This window comes from Homo sapiens, chromosome 1 (genome assembly GCF_000001405.40).
Source record: "Homo sapiens chromosome 1, GRCh38.p14 Primary Assembly".
Classification (NCBI taxonomy): domain Eukaryota; kingdom Metazoa; phylum Chordata; class Mammalia; order Primates; family Hominidae; genus Homo; species Homo sapiens.
In genome coordinates, this window is record NC_000001.11 from 155755225 (window position 1) to 155775970 (window position 20746).

Sequence of the window (20746 nt, forward strand, 5' to 3'; positions counted from 1 at the left end):
TAAGCCTAATTTTTTTTGTATTTTCAGTGAGATGGGATTTCGCCATGTTGACCAGGCTGGTTTCGAACTCCTGACCTGAAGTAATCCGCCCGCCTTGGCCTTGCAAAGTGCTGGCATTAGAGGTGTAAGCCACAGCACCTAGCCTATGGCTAATTTTTGTATTTTTAGTAGAGATAGGAATTCGCAATGTTACTCTGGCTGGTCTTGAACTCCTGTCCTCAAGTGATCCACCCACCTCGACCTCCCAAAATGCTGGGATTACAGGCATGAGCCACCACGCCCGGACCCCATCCTCTTTTATGTATCAACTCCTCACATCGCCTGGGGAAATCAATAGCCCAAACTAGATTAAGGCCTATTATGAATCCCTGAAACAATCCCTAAATGACCTAAAGACTGACATATCCCAATTGCCCCAGATGTTTCAAGAAATATTTAAGTCAGACATAATCTGAGGCAAAATCACTGGAGAGCTCCATCATGAGATATAATGTCTTTGTTTCTGTCTCTCTGTGACTTCAGCTCTCCCATCTCTTCCAATCCCCTTCAGAGAGAACTTTGTACCCATGGAAAGCCTACTCAGTGACACTGTTTAATAAACCCAAGACGTAAGTAAGTACCATTATCATCCCAATTTATGATGAAGAAACTGAAACAAAGAGAGGTTAAATACGTTTCCCAAGGTCATACAGCTACTAAGAAGCAGTTTCTCCCCAGAAAAGAGAAAAAACGCTTGGTCAGGAAACACGAATTAAAAAAAAAAAAAAAAAATACTGCTTGAAGAGCAGTGACAACCAGTAGACTCCACAGATGGCTTACCTGAGGAGTTCATATCCTAGCACCACCACTTACTAAATATGAGACCCTGACAACAGCCTCTCTGCACTTCAGTTATGTCTTCTGTAAAATGCAAACAAGAGCAATCTCTCCATAGGATTACTGTGAGAATTAAATGTGTCAATAATCCATTAAAATACTTCCCAGAATGCCTGACACTTTGTAATACAACTAAGTATTAGCTGCTATCATTATTATTAATATGGGGAATCTTGGTTCTATTTTATTTTTTTAATAACAAGCTCATCCTCAATTGGCTCTATTTTCTCACATGAGCAAAAATGAAAAAAGTTGAATTAAGGGTAATAACTCTGAGCTAGACAGAAAAGGGGAAGAAACAAATCCTTCTAACTAGGGAATCCTGGGGCCCCTGCAACAACTGCAGTTTTCCCAAAGGCTCTGCATGTCTGTATCAGCCTGACCTTTGGTTTGTTCTCCGTGATCGTCTCAGATCCTAGAGCCTTTGAACTAGAAACCTTGGGCCATAGTAAGCCACAGAAATGTTCAGTGAGAAAACGCAAGGCTTGATTCATGAAACATAGATAATTTTCAATAACTTGGCATACCTTATCATGATTTTAGGCCAGGCGTAGTGGCTCACACTTGTAATCCCAGCACTTTGGGAGGCCGAGGCGGGTGGATCACTTGAGGTAAGGAGTTCGAGACCAGCCTGGCCAACATAGTGAAAATCCATCTCTACTAAAAATACAAAAATTTGCTGGGCGTGGTGGCTGGCGCCTGTCTGTAATTCCAGCTACTTGAGAGGCTGAGGTGGGAGAATCGCTTGAATCTGGGAGGTGGAGGTTGCAGTGAGCCAAGATTACGCCACTGCACTCTAGTTTGGGTGACAGAGCGAGATTCTGTCTCAAAAACAAACAAATAAACAAAGAAAATACCTTATCATGATTTTGGACCCCGATCTCTTTTTTCCTCTTGTTCTTTGAGGCTGTGGGTATCTTGGGAGGCTCCTCCTCTTCTTCCACATCAGGCAGGGCCACTTCTTCAAAGCCATCAAACTGAGAAGGAGTTGGTGCTGCTGAGCACAGACACCAGGCCAATATCCCTCCCACGTGTGGCCTTCCCCCTTCATAAGGCTACAGCAGCCTTAGGTCCTATACCTCATACTCCTTTTCCTCAGTCCAATTGATCTCTTCAAAGTCACCCATCCGGCTAGCTGCTGGGCGCAAGTGGTCAAAGAAGATAGAAAACTCATCCTGCAGGTGGTCGTGGCCCTTGAGGAGCTGCCACATCTGTGTCTTGAGCTGAGGAGAGTCACAGAGGGAAAGAGGAAGTCTCCAGAGCCTCTCTAGGCTGCCCTTCCCAATCAATCCCACATACTTCCATGTTCTGCTTTCCCAGTCAACTGGGAAACACACAGAGACTCTGCCTGGTAACAAAGAATACTAAAACTTTCTCTTCCTCCTTAGCTGCCTATAGGGGAAGGGTACTAATACTGGATTTGATTCCTAATGATTCCACTCTCCACTCCACCCTACTGATCTCCAGCTAGGGCACTATTCCAAGCAGAGCAAGGAGGTAAGGCCCCTCCCAGGTCCCAGAACCTCCTTCGCTGAACATCCCTTCCAGCACATCCATGGCATTCCTGAGCCTGTGAAGATCAGACAGGCTCCGGTTTCAGGTAGCAATCCCTCCCTATCCCAGTGCTTTATGCTTTGGGTGAGCCTGAAAAGTCCTTGCCTTTTTCATCTCCTCCAGGAAGCCCATGAGCCTCCAGAGGCAAAAAGGTATGGAGTAGGTTGGGGAAAGAGACAAGGGAAAGGCCTAAGGCCCGGAAGACAACAGGAAGAAAGCAGGACAGGAAAGAATACCTCGGTGATCTCCTGGGGAAGGCAGTCTGCACAGCCTTGGAGGACCTTGATAATCTTCTGGTGGTGTGAGGGGTTCTCTGCAAAGCAAATCTCCAGCTGCCGAAGGAACTTGCGGCTCTTCTCAAAAGCCTGCTGCTCCTCAAACTACCAGAGTGGAAAGTGGGCAAAAGAGGAGTCATGATACAGCTAGAGCAGGACTTGAGGGTTCTAAGGATAAGAACTAGTGGACTAGGACACAAGAGATGACAGAACCCTGGTTTAAAATTCTAGTTTACAACTATTGAGATCTAATTTAAAACCCTAACCTCCATCCACCTTGGGCCACTGGTGGGTAGCCACCCAAAGCAATTAAGATGTGAGCAACAGCTTCAAGAGATGTATATATTTCAAGTTGTTTGCTGTTTTAAGGATTGTGAAATCAGCCACCAAAATTCATATGATACTTTAGAGTTTATATTACAAAGAACTTTCAGGCTGCACAAGGTGGCTCATAGCTGTAATCCCATGTTGGGAGGCCAAGGCAGGAGGATCGCTTAAGGCCAGGAGTTCAAGAACAGCAACATACTGAGACTATGTCTCTACAAAAAAATTTAAAAATTAGGCAGGGGCCGTGGTGTACACCTGTAGCTTGAGCTACTTGGGAGGCTGAGGCAGGAGGATCCCAGGGGCCTGTGTTGTCCAGGCTCATCTCAAACTCCTGTCTACAGGCCAGCTGTGGTGGCTGATGCCTGTAATCCCAGCACTTCGGGAAGCCGAGGTAGGCAAATCACCTGAGGTCAAGAGTTCGAGACCAGCCTGACCAACATGGTGAAACCCCATCTCTACTAAAAATACATAAATTAGATAGGTGCGGTCATGCATGCCTGTAATCCCTGCTACCCGGAAGGCTGAGGCAGGAGAATCACTTGAACCTGGGAGGCAGAGGTTGCAGTAAGCAGAGATCACACCACTGCACTCCAGCCTGGGTGACAGAGTCAGACTTTGCCTCAAAAAACAACAACAATAAAACAACAACAACAAAACTCCTGGCTACAAGGGATCCTCCCACCTTAGCCTCCCAAAGTGCTGGGATTACAGATGCCAGCCACTGTGTCTGGCCATTGTCTCTCTCTTTTTTGTTTTTGAGACAAGGTCTTGCTCTTGTCACCCAAACTGGAGTGTAGTGGAGCAATCATGGCTGAGTGAAGCCTCAACCTCTCAGGCTCAAGTGGTCCTCCCACCTCAGCCACCCAAATAGCTGGGACCAAAGGTGTGCACCACCACACCCAGTTAGTTAATTTTTTTATTTTATGTAAAGATGGGGTCTTGCTATGTTGTCCAGGCTGGCCTCCCAAAGTGCTGGGATAACAGGTGTGAGCCACCATACCTGGCTGACATTATCTCTTTAAAAAAATTTTTTGGCCAAGTGTGGTGGCTCACACCTGTAATCCCAGCAATTTGGGAGGTCGAGGTGGGCAGATCACCTGAGGTCTGGAGTTCGAGACCAGCCTGACCAACATGGAGAAACCCCGTCTTTACTAAAAATACAAAATTAGCCAGGCGTGGTGGTGGCGCATGCCTGTAATCCCGGCTACTCGGGAGGCTGAGGCAGGAAAATCGCTTGAACCCAGGAGGCGGAGGTTGCAGTGAGCCGAGATCACGCCACTGCACTCCAGCCTGGGCAACAAGAGTGAAACTCCATCTCAAAAAAAAAAAAATTTTTTTTTTTGTTCACGTATACACTGATTGGAACCTCATAATACCAGAAGAGAAAATGGGCATCACACATTATATGCAGAACTACCCCACTGTCATTTAACCCCAATAAAACTCTTAGAATAATCCCGTTCCTCCCTTTGTTCCTATTTTTATGACGATAAGTCCAGGACTACTGGGATATCCCTCATGTTTAGCCTCCTATTCTGCAACATTTCACGTTACCATACCACAGTGGCCTTCCCAGACCGCTGTGTATAAAACCACCCCTCTAGTTTCCTTTCCTGCTTTATTTTTCTGTAAAACATGATCACTATAAAACATTGTATACTATATATTTTGCTGTTTATATTTATTTTTATAATTTATATTTTATATATTATATATATATATATATGATATATATATATATATGTTTTCTGGAGTATCATCTGAATTTCCTCATGATAACGTAAGCTCCACGAGGGCAGGAATTTTAGTCTTTTGTAATTACTATATTCCTAGCAATTGAGGTCAGGAATTGCTAGGAATTCCTGACAGTTAGGAGGCACCTAACAAATATTTGTTAAATGAATGTCTGGCTTGATACCAGTGAGAAGCAGAGAGCATATGACTCACCTAAGGTGTCCTTTGGCAACTATAGGTAAAACCCTCTCATTTATCATGTAAAGAAAATGGGAGAATGGGATTGGAAAGATAATACCCTGAAAAGACAGAGGCTTTTATCACTCTGGGCTAGGGGATGGCTGTGTGTCTGGAAGGAGCTGGGAGACTGAAAGAGTCTTATTCAACCCCATTCAATCCCAGTCTCACTCTGACCCAGGAGTCCCAGTGTACTTTTTTTCCCCATTCACTTACTAATCCACAGGCCAGAGCTTGCTCAGGTAACAGGAAAGCAGCAAAGTCTTTCAACAGCTGAGGCCAGTCTTGGAGCAGAATTTGCAGGCTTTTGTAGAGATCTACAGCCGTCCGTCTCTGGGTACTTGACTCAAATTCATAGATGACTTGAAGGAAGTCTTCATACTTGCCAGGGATATGTTGTAGGGCTTCTCGCACCTACACGGGAAGACTTTCAATCATCAACACCCTTTATTTGGGCCACAACAAGCAATAAGGGTACAAGGGAGAAGGCAGGGTTATGGTTAGAGAGCTCCAAGAATTATCCATCAGAGGCTGTGCCTCCAACAGATCTTAACATCTGACTGTTAATGGAAGACACAGAGCAATAGGCAAGGTAAAGATCTTTTTCTGGGAGTGAGCAAGTGAAAAATCATCTTCCACGTTCCACAGTTCTACCCACAAAACCAAGCAATGCTTTTCTCTAGGTCACAGCCCTAACCTTTCCTTACTGATTACAGCCCCATAATGAAATAGGTAACATGTGTTTGTACATGTATTTCAGCATGGGCGTAATTTGAGAGTAAATAATACATAAGTTAGGAATGTCAGTAAAACATTAGGAGATAAGAAAAAGCTATGACTATCATTGCCAGTATTCTGCTTTCCAGGGGGATAAAGGAATCAGGTGGTTACCAAGAGAAGGACACAGTTCTCCAGGACACTACCAAGAAGTGGTTAGCTTATGTGTGGTTTTTTTTTTTTTTTTTTTTTTTGAGACAGGGTCTCATTCTGTTGCCCAGGATGGAGTGCACTGATGCAATCATGGCTCACTGCAGTCTCAACCACCTGGGCCCAAGTGATCCTCCCACCTCAGACTCCCAAAGTACCTAGGACCACAGGCATGCACCACCATGCTTAGCTCACTATTTTTTTTTTATTTTTGTAGAGATGGAGGTCTCCTGTGTTGCCCAGGCTTGTCTTGTCTTGAACTCCTGGACTCAAGGATCCTCCTACCCCAGCCTCCCAAAGTGCTGGCATTATATGCAAGGGCCACAGCGCCCAGCCTGGTTCATTTTTTTTTTTTTTTTGAGACAGAGTGTCGCCCTGTCACCAAGGCTGGAGTGCAGTGGTGCGATCTCGGCTCACTGCAAACTCCGTCTCCCAGGTTCAAGTGATTCTTGTGCCTCAGCCTCCCCCGTAGCTAGGATTACAGGCGCCCACCACCACACCCGGCTAATTTTTGTATTTTAGTAGAGACAGGGTTTCACCATGTTGGTCAGGCTGGTCTCTAACTCCTGACCTCAGGTGATCCACCCACCTCGGCCTCCCAAAGTGCTGGGATTATAGGTGTCAGCCACCACGCCCAGCTGGTTCATGTCTTAAGAGCAATGTATTTTCCTGAAATCCACTTGCTGGCCAGTGTACCCACTATCTTTCTTCTCAAGCCAAAGGTTCTATAAAGGTCCTTATCAGCGCACCCAGTAAAGTCACAACCTCCCACTGATGATGGTGGTATCATCTTTCTGCCAATCTCTGGTCAACAGAAGGATGATGGCAGGGTACTAACAATAAACATACTTATGATTGAATTCTATGTCTCCTTGTGGTTCTGTCACAGAGATCTTTTGCCAGAAAAGCCAAGATAGAGGAATATGAAGCCTGTTGCATAGCCTGAAAAACAGACTTTATGTTGAAAAACATCTCCCTTGAAGAAGCAGCCACATTCATAGAGACTGGCAATAACAGGAAGCAGCATTTGCCTACCCTGGTCAGATAAGCTTGGGCAAAGGCCAAGTCCTTCTGCTCCCTGAGTGGATCTCGCTCGAGAATGTCCTCATCATACAGCAACAGCAGCTTGGAGGTGTCCTTGCTGGCCCGAGCCCGACTTCCCCGCTTGTTGCGAGCTCGATGATTGTTCCGGCCTTTTCCAGCAGCTTTGATGCTCTCTCCTTGTAGCACACATGAAAAGGATTGTTTCCCTGTCCCTGCAACCTGTGTTCTTCCCATTCCACCACATGCACCACCCCAGCCAAATCCTATTCAATATTATGGAGCAATTCAAGGAAAAGGTTTTTGGGAAAATGGTATGAGAACTAAGTCCGTCAAGTCAGTTCTACGCAGAGTCTGCAGTGTAACTGCCTTAATTGGGATGACAACAAGATAATCAGCTACTTCATATTGAGAAAGGAAGTCTAAAGAGCAAGTGTGGCTTCTGTAGTGCTTTTGAGAGACTATGTCTTGATGAGGAACAAGCAGTGTTTTCTGAAATAAACATGGGTCTTAGCCCCACACATGACAGATAAGGTAACAATCAGTTTAACAAAGTGAACTGCCAGGCACAGTGGCTCACGCCTGTAATCCCAGCACTCTGGGAGGCCGAGGCGGGTGGATCATAAGGTTAGGAGTTCGATACCAGCCTGACCAACATGGTAAAACCCCATCTCTACTAAAAATACAAAAATTAGCTGGGTGTGGGGGCAGATGCCTGTAATCCCAGCTACTCAGGAGGGTGAGGCAGGAGAATCGCTTGAACCTGGGAGGCAGAGGTTGCAGTGAGCCAAGATCGCACCACTGCACTCCAGCCTGGGCGACAGAGCAAGACTCCGTCTCAAAAAAAAAATAAAAAAATAAAAAAAAGAAAGAAAGTGAACGAAGCTAATATAAATCTAGCAACGGATGAGAATTGAATTAAAAATTTCTGAGTATCTGTTCTCCACAAAGATACCACATTAAACATGTTTTGGGGGAGGGGTGTTGCAGAAGAGATCCAGAGGGTTTCCTCTGGAAATCCTCCACCTGGTTTATAAGCTACCCACCCTGCACACTGTCCTCTAGACAATGAGGTTAAGTGAGAATGGTCCTTCAGTATAGGTTTGCCTAGCTCACCTGGTGGAGTTCTGCTGGTCTCCACTTCTGGAGCAGTCTCAGGTGAAGCAAAAGTAGGAGGCTTCTCAGCAGAGTCTCCAACTGCTTCATCCGTCATTTCATCCTCTTTCTGCAGGCTTTCCATTCCTTCTGCTTCTTCTTCCTCCTCTTCTTCTGGCTCAGAGTTCTCCTCCTGAGAATTCTCTTCTTCAGACTCACCCTCCTGACTCATGCGCCTTTCAGATGCCAGCCAAGTCAGTTTCTCCATTGTTTCCTGTAAAACCCTCCAAAGAGTACTTATAATGGCTCTTAGTGGCTCATGAATTGCAAACAACACAAAGCTATATCAGGATAATCTGAAGTTAAACAATGGGGAGCCCACTACAGCTGTCCTGAGGGGAATTCCTTGAGTTATGAAATCCCAGCAATGGGCCAGGTACAGTGGCTCACGCCTGTAATCCTGACACTTTGGGAGGCCGAGGTGGGTGGATCACTTGAGGCCAGGAGTTCAGGACCAGCCTCGCCAACATGATGAAACCACGTCTCTACTAAAAATACAGAAATTAGTCAGGCATGGTGGTACATGCCTGTAATCCCAGCTACTTGGGAGGTTGAGGCATGAGAATTGCTTGAACCCGGGAGGTGGAGGTTGCAGTGAGCTGAAATTATGCCACTGCACTCCAATCCGGGAGACAGAGTAAGACTCCATCTCAAAACAAAAACAAAAACAAACAAAAAAAAAACACAGAAAAAACCACACACAAAACAAGACAAAAAAAAGAAATCCCAGTGATAGCTGACATTCGGCCTGACAGCAGGAGAGGGGAAGAAGTTCCCTTTTACAAACTTCTGTAACCTGAAGATAGTTTTCAGGCTGGAGTGAGATGGTGCAATCGTGGCTCACCGCAACCTCTGCCTCCCCGGTTCAAGCAATTCTCCTGCCTCAACTTCCTGAGTAGCTGGGATTACAGGCATGTGCCACTACGCCCAGCTAATTTTGTATTTTTAGTAGGGATGGAGTTTCTTCATGTTGGTCAGGCTGGTTTTGAACTCCCGACCTCAGGTGATCTGCCCGCCTTGGCCTCCCAAAGTGCTGGGATTTATAGGCGTGAGCCACCGTGCCCAGTTATTTACTATTTTTTTTTTTTTTTTTTTTTTTTTTTTTTTGAGACAGAGCCTTGCTCTGTTGCCCAGGCTGGAGAGCAATGACGTGATCTCGGCTCACTGCAACCTCTGTCTCTCGGGCTCAAGCAATTCTCCTGCCTCTGCCTCCCAAGCAGCAGGGATTACAGGTGTCCGCCACCATGCCTGGCTAATTTTTGTTATTTTTAATATAGATGGGGTTTTACCACGTCGGCCAGGCCAGTCTGAAACTCCTGGCCTTGTGATCCACCCACCTCAGCCTCCCAAAGTGCTGGGACTACAGGAGTGAGCCACCAAGCCCAGCCTATTACTATTTTTTAAGGCATTTAAAGTATGGTCAGGTGATTCAATTTAATGTGTAAACGAGTTTAATATAATAAGTAAAATTTCATCCTTTCCATCTCATTTCACCTCAACTCCACAATCATGTCCCATAATGCATTCACAAATCAAATACAAATGATTTTAGGACTATCCATAGTGCAGCAAGCAAGCAGGTGGCATATCAATAAGTGATACATATTACTGAGTCCACGAAATACTTGAGAATATTCTCCAGCTCTCACCTGGAGTTCTGGGACAGAAAGCACAGATTCCTCAGAAGCTGATGACATTTCATCTTCCTCATCTTGGGTGAGGTCATCAAAGTCCTCTTCTTCCTCTTCTTCTGGCCCATTCTTCTCTCCTCCAGTTTCTGGCCCAACTGGAGTCCCCACTGACTGACCATCAACACTGGATGAATCTTCTGGCTTCCCTGGGGGGCTACTAAGCCTCACTTCAGGATCCATTGAGGACAAAGCATTCTTTGATGATCCTTTGTTCACATCTGTCCCTGAGGTTCCTTCATCAGGGGGCTCTTGAGAAGATGAAGGGGTTTTAGTTGGCTGACTCCTCTCCTCTTCCTTCTGTAAGACTGTCTGTTTCGTTACTTCTCCAGCACTGCTCAACTCCTCGCTTGGGGCACCAGTGTCCAATTCCACAGCATGTTCCACTTTGATGTCATCACAAATATCACGCTCAGGGGATCCACTGATTTCCTCTCTAGCTTCTTCAGGTTCCATCTTGACAATTTCCTCTAAATCCCCAGGGGTAGGGTTGTTTAGAGACTCCTGGATGCCCTGAGGGAGCGGCTCCAGAGCTTGCCTCCCCTCCTCTGTTTTCACAACGGTCCAGCGACAGGCACTATTCTCTGACAATCCTTCTTGGCACTCTGCATCTGCTAGTGGAGGCCCTGGGCTATGTTCCACTTTCGGGAAAACAGTAGCAGAGAGAGGAGATAGTTCCTGGGGCTCTAATTTGGGTTCTAGGCCCTGAAAGGCATTTTCCCCATCAGCCACAGCACAAGCAATGTCCACATTCACGTGGGCCTTATCTTCAGGGGTGGATGGTATAGGAAGATTCACAGAATTGCCAGAAACAATTAAGGGTGAGACAGAGGAGGCCACAAGGGACTGGTTCAATGGACAGGGGAAGGAAGTAGGGTTAACCAAGAGGGTAGTGATGGGAATAGTCTGGGGACTCTGGGCCACAGCCGCATTGACAGGCTGGATCATGTTACAGCCACCGCCAAGGCTCACAATCTTCACAGTGGTAGCAGGAACAGTGAAGATAACAGATGCAGGGTGGTGGATAACAGGGGCAGGTTTCATACAGGGAGAGGCCTTGACTCCTCTTCTCTTTGAGGGTCTCCGTCTCACATATGGCTTTCGAAACTTAGAAGGGGCAAGGGAGGGCAGCATTACCTTGGGCACAGGGGCAGAAGAGAGCAAAGTCTGGGACTCAGACAGAGGGAAGCTTGTCCTGGCCTCAGGGGGCACAGCAGGCAGTGCTGCAGGAGACTCAAAACTCTCACCTCCACTGACCCCCAGTGGAGGGACACCTGGAACTGTCTGTAAAACAGTGGCTGGCTGTATTGGGTGAGGAATCCGGAGCACCATTTTGCTCGGAGGGGCTTCTGAATGAGTTGATCGGGCTGGTGTTTTCCCAGGGTTGAAGCTGGGCTGGAGAGAGGGGCTGGGTTGGATAAGGAGGGGCTTCAGGACTGATGAACGCTTCTGTCTCCAAGCCTTCCTGGGGAAACGGGTGGCAACTGGCTTCAGTTTCAGGACTACACCCTTAGGCAATAGCAGTGGGTACCGAGATTCACTCCCCAACTCCAAATTGTCTTTTTCTAGGCTTCGATCTGAGTTGATCTCAGTGGTTCCAGTCATATTTCCTACCTCTCTAGCACCATCAGCCATGTGCCGCAGTTCTTCCTGGATGGATGGCAGACTGGCCTATTGGAAACAAGAACACTCTGATCCAGCATATGTCAGAATTTGGGAAAAAGAGGCTTGGCACAGTGGCTCACGCCTGTAATCCCAGCACTTTGGGAGGCTGAAGTGGGCAGATCACTTGAGGTCAGGAGTTCAGGATGAGCCTGACCAACACGGTGAAACCCCGTCTCTACTAAAAATACAAAAATTAGTTGGGTGTGGTGGCATGTGCCTGTAATCCCAGCTACTCAGGAGGCGGAGGCAGGAGAATCACTTGAACCTGGGAGGCAGAGGTTGCGAGAAGCCGAGATCGCACCTTAGCCTGGGTGGACAGAGCAAGACTCTGTCTCAAAAACAAAACAAAACAACAACAAAAAAAGAATTTGGGAAAAACAATAGGGCTTTCTAGGTTTTAGAGACCTTAGACAGTCTCAAGGCATCTTTCCAAGAAGGGTCTCTCTGCATATCAAATCTACAAAGACCACATTCTAATTATACACTTTAGAAACTTCTGTGAATTTCCTTTAGCAAATTATTATTTTACCTATTATTTTGAAAATGCTGTAGAATCACCCAGAGAAGGGCAGAAAAGTAAGGGAAGAAAGGTGAATCAGGAAGATTTCTAAAGTCCTAGTTCTACAACTAAAGCATTAGACGATTAAGGAAGCCCTTGATATTCTCTCAGAACTTTCAGTGACCTTCTGCCTCCTACAGACTTCGAGGAAGAGGGCTGTACCTTTAACCAGAATGGGAGCCGGTGTTCTTCTCTCTCTATAGGTGGCTTCCACTGATGTGGCTGGATCTCTTCACAGCATTTTCCTAGGACTGGCAGCTGTTTGGTCTTCTTATAAAACTTAACATGAAAAAAATGCGCATGAATTACATTCCTTCTGGAAACACTGTCCCCTGTCAGGCTGGTGAATGGGGTGGTGGTGGATCAAGAGAAACACACACACACACACACACACACACACAAGACCACATACACAAACATCCATGAACGCACATATATAAATAGCATATGCTGAATACTTGTACATTTCAAATTAAACTAATCTCTATTTAAATATTTCACAATTATTCAATATTTTCTAACTGATGATCTCCATTCTGGTTGCCAGGAAGGGGAGAGTTTAGGTCACAGAGAGAAAAGGAAGCAGATGCTCAGAGCAATCTTATGTAAGATTTGTTCTTGATCAACAGCTGCAAAGACAACATCGTAATCTATACCTTGGACACATGAAAGCTTCCTTTTAAGCAAATGGTGGTGTGAAAGGCATTAGAAGAGAAGGGGGGAAAAAAAGAGCCTGAGAAAGTTCAATTTTAAGAGTAAATGAAGGTTGGGCGTGGTGGTTCATGCCTATAATCCCAGCACTTTCGGAGGTGGGCAGATTACCTAAGGTCAGGAGTTCAAGACCAGACTGGCCAACATGGCAAAACCCCTATTCCTACAAAAATACAAAAATTAGCCAGGCATGGTGGCACGCACCTGTAATCCCAGCTACTCAGCGGGCTGAGGCAGGAGAATTGCTTGAACCTGGGAGGTGGAGGTTGAGGTGAGCTGAGATCAGAGACAGTGCCACTGCACTCCAGCCTGGGTGACACAGTGAGACTCCGTCTCAAAAAAAAAAAAAAAGAATAGGCCAGGCGCAGTGGCTCACCTTGTAATCCCAGCACTTTGGGAGGTTGAGGTGGGCAGATCACGAGGTCAGGAGATTGAGACCATCCTGGCTAACATGGTGAAACCCCGTCTCTACTAAAAAATACAAAAAATTAGCCAGGCGTGGTGGCTGGTGCCTGTAGTCCCAGCTACTCAGGAGGCTCAGGCAGGAGAATGGCATGAACCTGGGAGGCGGAGCTTGCAGTGAGCCGAGATCACACCACTGCACTCCAGCCTGGATGACACAGCAAGACTCCATCTCAAAAAAAAAAAAAAAAATTGAGACAGGTCTCACTTTTTTGCCCAGGCTGGTCTTGAACTCCTGGGCTCAAGTAATTCTCCCACCTTGGCCTCCCAAAGTGCTGGGATTATAGGCGTGAGCCACGGCCCCATTTAACTCTTGAATATTCATGTAACACCTGTTTCTCCCAACCTCTGATAGCATGTAAGATTTTTCCTTTGGCTCCAATGTTTTGAAAATTCATGATAATATGGCTTAGAATTTGTCTAGTTTCATCCGTGGTGCTAAGGCACTTGATAAACCGTATTCTGCTGCAGAAAAATCTTTTTCCTTCACGTTTGAGTTGTGTGTCATTTTCTGTGCACATCTTTGTACTTTTTGTTTGTTTCTCTGCTTCTTGATCTTTGAGACAGAGACTCCTCTGTCGCCCAGGCTGGAGTGCAGGGGAGTGATCCACGCTTACTGAACCTCTGTCTCCCTAGTTCAAGTGAGTTTTGTGCCTCAGCCTCCCGAGTGGCTGGGATTACAGGTGAGTGGCACCATACCTGGTCAATTTTTGTATTTTTAGTAGAGACGGGGTTTCACCATATTGCCCAGGCTGGTCTTGAACTCCTGGCCTCAGGTCATCTGCCTGCCTCAGCCTCCCAAAGACCTGGGATTACAGGCCTGAGCCACCGTGTACGGCCTCAATTTTTAAAAATTTAGAAAAAAATTAAAATAAAAAATGCTACTAGAATGTGTTTCACTAAAGGAAGGAAGTAAAACAAAAACACAGATGTAGAATTCAGGAAATAAGAAGATCCAACACAGTAAGAGGCAAAAAGAATTCCCAGGATGATGGGGAGGAAAAAGCCCAAAACATCAGTGCAGCAAGCCCAGAGAGCAACACGCTTAGAGTGGAATAGTGTCAGAGGGCTCAAGGAGCAATTCCTTCAAGATGAAAGTGACGGAATATCTAGAAGGCCAGACACGCTGAAAGGAGATTAAGAAAATTTAAGTAACCTTTACTGTTGACCTGGGAATAATTACATAATAAAATCAAGTCCAGCCCCATCCCCCTAAAAATGCGATTATTTACTCCAAGAAAAACAAAATGTTCAGCAGGAAAGGCAAGGTATCACAATAACATAGCTGTGAAGAGTATTTATACAGTCCTTAAAATCTTATAGTGTAAACCCTGAATACAACCTAACCAAAATTGTGACATAATTACTAGCGAGGAGATTGGAGAGCAGAAAATGTGCATGTTTGTGGTGGGAGTAAGGGAGTGAGGAGACAGGTAAATCCTCAGCTTCCTTGGCTTATGGTTAATGGTTAATAAATAAGGCCTAAATCCAATATACCAGGAAGTAGCAATTAGAGGCTGAGACAGGAGAATGCCTAAGGCCAAAAATTCGAGACCAGCCTGGGCAATATAGGGACACTCCATTTCTTAAAAAAAAAAAAAAAAAAAAAAAAAAAAAAAAAAATTAATAGGCAAGCATGGTGGCTCATGCATATAATCCCCAGCTCCTTGGGAGGCTGAGGTGGGAGGAATGCTTGAGCCCAGTAGCTGGAGCTTACAGTGAGCTATGACTGTACCACTGTACTCCAGCCTGGGTAGCAGAGTAAGACCCTTTCTCAAGAAAAAAACAAAAACAAAACAAAACAAAAGGCTGGGCATAGTGGCTCACGCCTGTAATCCCAACACTTTGGGAGGCCAAGCTGAGGCAGGCGGACTGACACATGTCAAAACTTCAAGACCAGTCTGGGCAACAAAGTGACACAGCATCTCCACACAAAATAAAATAATGAGCTAGCCTTGGTGGAACACGCCTGTAGTCCAGGATACTTGGAAGGCTAAAGTGGAAGGATCACTTGAACCCAGGAGTTTGAGGCTACAGTGACCTATGACTGAGCCAATGCACTCCAAACAGGATGATAGAGCAAGAACCCGTCTCTAAAAACACAACATAAATATCTAAATAAAAAAGAAGAAACCAGGTGCGGTGGCTCATGCCTGTAATCCCAGCACCTTGGGAGGCCAAGGCGGGTGGATCACTTGAGGTCAGAGGTTCAAGACCAGCCTGGCCAACATGGTGAAACCTCATCTCTACTGAAAATACAAAAATTAGCCAGGTGTGGTGGTGCATGCCTGTAATCCAAGCTACTTGGGACGCTGAGGCAGGAGACACCGAGGCAGGAGAATCGCTTGAACCTGGGAGGTAAAGACTGCAGTGAGCCAAGATTGCGCCACTCTACTCAAGCCTGAGTGACAGAGCAAGAGTCTGTCTAACAACAACAACAACAAAAAGCAAATAAGTGGAATACTGCCAGCGGAATATTGCCCAAAAGGCAATAGGGGAATTAATCTAGTGTAAAGTGGGAGAAATTAGCTTTAGATAAAAGAAGGTTCCTCTTTTCTTTGAGAATAACAAGATAAAAGAATGGGTACATATTGGTGAGGTGCCCGGATGGCGCATGCAGGAAACACTCACTTTAATGATGTTGTCAGGAGCTCTGTTCATGTTGAGGTTCTTGATTCTCACTGTCAGTTGGTGGGCAGTTTTGCAGGTTAGAAGGTACTTGCTGATTAGAGGATTAGGAAACTCAGTTCCTTCAAAATGCTTCAGTCCTAAAGCTAACAAACTGAGAAAGGAGAATAACACTAAATCTCACTTCACAGTCCTTCCTTCTAAAGGGTCTCCCCAGACTAACACATTTTACAATCTACTCTTTCATTTTTTTCTTGAGACAAGGTCTCACGCTGTCACCCAGGCTGGAGTGCAGTGGCACCATCGCAGCTCACTGCAACCTCTACTTCCTAGGCTGAAGCAATTCTCCAGTCTCAGCCTCCCAAAGTGCTGGGATTACAGGCATGAGCCATGGTGTGTGGCCCAATCTACCTTTTCATTTTTTTTCAGACAGGGTCTTGCTCTGTTGCCCGGGTTGGAGAGCGGGTGGCATGATTACAGCGCACTGCAGCCTTGAATGCCTGGGCTCAAGCGATTCCCGTACTTCATCCTCCCAAGTATCTGTGACCACAGACGTTCACCACCATGCCGGGCTAATTTTTTTCTTCCATTATTTGTAGAGACCAGTTCTCACTATGTTGCCTGGGCTAATCTTAAACTCCTGGCCTCAAGCGATCCTCCTGCCTCAGCCTCTCAAAGTGCTGGTATTACAGTTGTAAGCCCACCATGCCTGGTCAATCTACTTTTTGTAAATCTAATTCTTGTACAAGTTGGTGACTACTCAACAGAAAATTTCAGATACTTAGTGAGTACTGATTAAGTATTATGAATAAGAATAAGGCCAGGCGCAATGGCTCACGCCTGTAATCCCAGCATTTTGGGATGCCGAAGCAGGCAGATCACCTGAGTCAGGAGTTCGAGACCAGCCTGGCCAACATGGTGAAACCTCGTCTCTACTAAAAATACAAAAAATAGCCAGGTGTAGTGGTAGGTGCCTGTAATGCCAGCTACTTGGTCAGGAGAATCACTTGAAACCGGGGGCGAAGGTTGCAGTGAGCCGAGATCGCACCATTGCACTCCAGCCTGGGTGACAAAAGTGAAACTCTGTTTAAAAAAAAAAAATCAAATACTTCACAATTATGTGGGAACATAAGAAACTAGGCATAAATCATTAATAAACGTGAGATCATGATGAGCTGTATCATGACGAGCTGTATACTAACAATACAAAGGAAGTTCAAAGAGAATAGAAAGGAAGGAGAATAATTCTAATAAAACTAATACAAAATGAATAGGTACCCTGTCAGACAACTTAAACCGGCACCAATACTACCCTCTAACAACATATATGATCGTGGTTACATATACACATATGTGCTGATAACAGTGTGGCAATACACACAAAGGGCCATAAAAATGTTCATAATCTGGTGGGTGTGGTGGCTCATGCCTGTAATCCCAGCACTTTGGGAGGCCAAGGTGGGAGGATGCCTTGAGTCCAGGAGTTTGAGAGATGCCTGGATAACACAGAGAGACCCTCATCTCTACAAAAAAAAAAAAAAAAATTTAGCCATGTATGGTGGCACACGCCTGTGGTCTCAGCTGCTCCGTGGAGGCTGAGGTGCAAGGATCGCTTGATGTCAGGAGTTCAAGGCTGCAGTGAGCTGTGACTGCCTGGGTGACACAGTAAGATTCTGCCTCTAAATAAATAAATAAATAACATAAAATAAAATAAAAGCGAACCTCCTGCCTTGGCCTTTCAAAGTGCTGGGATTACAGGTGTGAGCCACCATGTCCGGTCTAAAATGCTTTAAAAATGTGTGTGACATCTCCCAAAAAGCAGTATTTGGCACTGCTAGAACAAGCACGTCCTAGAGGGCTCTGCTCATCTATATTGCTTTTCCTTTTGTCTTTTGTGTCCGTGTCTTATTATACAAGTCTTACTTCCCCTAAACTCCTCAAAGGAACTACATCTTCTCCTTGGGATGTTCTGCTGTTTTGATCCCCCAGAGTAAACACTTACTTGTCCTCAGCCTTGGTGAAGACGATCTTATCCTGGGGATTCTTTGCCTTCAGGGAACACACTGGAAGTAACTCTGGATACATGAAAACCTTGCTTGTGGCCAGAATCCAAGCCACTTGCTTTGGCAAACAGGGAAATTCATTCGCTATAAGAAAATAAATCTCGGATAAATCAACTTCTAGGACAAAAGAGGGCTTCATAAAAGCCTGTGAATGCATTTTTGCATTTAGGTAGGAGCTATCCTTACCTAACTTGATTCCCTCCCATCTGCCCACCATCCCCCCAAAAGTTTCCAGTCTTTCTTAAGCTAACATTATATCTAAAGGGAGTCCCATTCAATGGCAATAAAAGTTGACTCATTCTTTCTTATGTGGAACACTTTATTCACTAAGTAAAACAAACACTTAAAAAGCACCTAGTAAAATAAGGTGCTAACAATAGCGTATGCTCAAAAATGTTTTACCTCCTTCCCCCCTTAAATACTTGAAGGATAAGAGACCTTCAACAATGCTTTCTTTCTTCCAGAATAAGATTCCAACTTCTTTAATCTCCCTCACAAATCTGGTATTCCAAATTTTACTTTTATTTGATTCTTACTTAAGTTCTCCCAGATTCCTCCTGAGGCTGGGAACAAAAGAACCATAAAAGGAAGGAGACAATTCAGTCTCATTCATTTCTCTCTCCCTCTCTCAGCCTCTCACTTTCAGGCACCTCTGCATTTCTAGAGACAAAACTACTATATCCATATTTCTCCTTCCATAAGTGTTATTTTTATATCCCCAGAAGAAAGCAACAGGTCAACAGATGTGTAAGATATTATTATAATTTGGTGTTAAATCAAGTTTTCATTACCATTTCATATCATTTAATATAGCTGTTAAAGCAGTTTGGGATCCGTGTCTATGATATAATACACTTAAATACAACTATTTTCAACTTAACGATAAGACTCAGGGATTTAAAATAGAATCCAAAGACAAACCCAAATCCAGAACAAACCACAACTAATTTGCTAAATCAAGAAACAAATCAGAAGCAAATATTTGGCTTAAGTAAATAGCAAGTATTTTCTAAAAAATACTAAACTAATGCAAGGTAGAATCTAAACTTGCAAATTTCTTTAAAATACTGAACATGGCAAATGTATAATCTCTAACTTATGCCTAACTTGCAAGTCAATATTTCATTCAGAATGGAGATATCACTTATGCTGCAGTCAGTATGGTAAATAAAGTTAGTTGATTTTTTTTTTTTTTTTTTTGAGACTGAGTCTCGCTCTGTCGCCCAGGCTGGAGTGCAATGATGCTATCTTGGCTCACTGCAAACTCTGCCTCCTGGGTTCAAGCGATTCTCCTGCCTCAGCCTCCCGAGTAGCTGGGACTACAGGCGCGTGCCCCCATGCCTGGCTAATTTCTGTATTTTTAGTAGAGACGGGGTTTCACTGTGTTCGCCAGGATGGTCTCCATCTCCTGACATTGTGTTCCCCGTGCCTCGGCCTCCCAAAGTACTGGGATTACAGGCGTGAGCCACCGCGCCTGGCCTTAGTTGATCTTAATGAAGACAGTAAAAAGCTAAACATGACCAAACTTTACCACCTGACTTTCATCTTTACCAGGCCCCAGTTTATCTCGATCTGACTCCTAATACTTACCCCTCATATTGCTGTAGTCCAATTCTTAGCACTGAGCCTCAGATCTCTACCTCCCATATTCCTATACTGTCCACTGCCTCCACACTTTACCCAGGCCCAGAGATTATCATGTAATTCTAGAACTTGGATAATGAGTACAAAGGGAGGATAAAAGAGAGAAGGAAGAAATTACAAATGTCCTGTGTCCTCCATTCCTAGGCAAGTATCCTTAGTTATCTATGGGATAAGATTCCCACCACCTCTCACCGCAAGTAAAAACTTAAAGCTGACACATCTGTCTCCTACCAGTCTTCTTGACAGTTTTATGAGGGCTGCAGTCAATGCTGACATGTGTGCTGAAGTCTTCAATCAGCTGCATAGCTCCCATCAAGTTACAGGGTTGGAACAGGGTCTGAAACTTGGGGTTGTACTGATGGTGAAGGGCGATGGAGCTTTGAGCAAAGGTTCCCAGCTCTTTCTGGGAAAACAGGACACAAGAAAGATTTAAGACAATTCCAGACAATTAATACCAGTAGCCTTCAGAATCTAAATGAGAAGCTGACCTTCCTACTACAGGATAAAAACAGGTAAAAATCATCATAAAGTCTTTCACAATAAACTACTCTGTTAAGATTATGCCTGAGTTCCCAGATATTCAGGGATTGTATTCTTGTTTTACTTTTAGACTTAGTGAGAAACACTAAGGAATATATGGTCTAGCTCCTGAACTAGAAGTAAGATTATGAAGAATGAGGACTCATTTTTTTTTTTTTTTTCGAGACGGAGTTTCGCTCTGTCGCCCAGGCTGGAGCGTAGTGGTGCGATCTTGACTCACTGAAGTCTCCACTTCCTGGGCTCAAGCGATTCTTCTCCATCTACCTCCCGAGTAGCTGGGATTAATTACAGGCGCCCGCTACCACGCCCGGCTATTTTTTGTATTTTAAGTAGAGACTGGATTTCACCATGTTGGTCAAGCTGTTCTCGAACTCCTGACCTCAAGTGATCCAGCCACCTCAGCCTACCAAAGTGCTGAGATTACAGGCACAAGTCACCGCACCCAGCCAAGAATTAGGACTATTACTTTTATTTTATTTATTTATTTATTTTGAGACTGGGTCTCACTCTGCTGCCCAGGCTTGAGTGCAGTGGCGCGATCTCAGCTCACTGTAACCCTCACCTCCTAGGCTCAAGCTATCCTTCCACCTCTGCCTCCCAAGTAGCTGAGACTACAGGTACGCACCACCACATCTGGTTAATTTTTGTATTTTGTAGAGA

At 45.0% G+C, this 20746-nt stretch overlaps 1 protein-coding gene across 21 annotated transcripts in view; it reads right to left on the reverse strand.

The window, feature by feature from the left end:
• Positions 1-20746, reverse strand: part of GON4L (gon-4 like) — a 114320-nt gene that overhangs the window by 10113 nt on the left and 83461 nt on the right. For 13 of the 21 annotated variants that reach the window (XM_006711394.5, XM_047423284.1, XM_006711393.4 and 10 more), the window contains 11 exons: positions 19778-19949; positions 17842-17986; positions 15843-15993; positions 12201-12317; positions 9776-11485; positions 8088-8340; positions 6966-7150; positions 5220-5417; positions 2667-2810; positions 1956-2099; positions 1734-1853 (listed from right to left, as the gene is read on the reverse strand). In XM_006711394.5, the coding sequence (XP_006711457.1) occupies positions 1734-1853; positions 1956-2099; positions 2667-2810; positions 5220-5417; positions 6966-7150; positions 8088-8340; positions 9776-11485; positions 12201-12317; positions 15843-15993; positions 17842-17986; positions 19778-19949 (3339 nt within the window). Of the gene's footprint in view, positions 1-1733; positions 1854-1955; positions 2100-2666; positions 2811-5219; positions 5418-6965; positions 7151-8087; positions 8341-9202; positions 11486-12200; positions 12318-15842; positions 15994-17841; positions 17987-19738; positions 19950-20746 lie in introns of those variants that run through there. The other 8 variants (XM_047423299.1, XM_047423298.1, XM_047423301.1 and 5 more) reach the window with 3 other exon arrangements.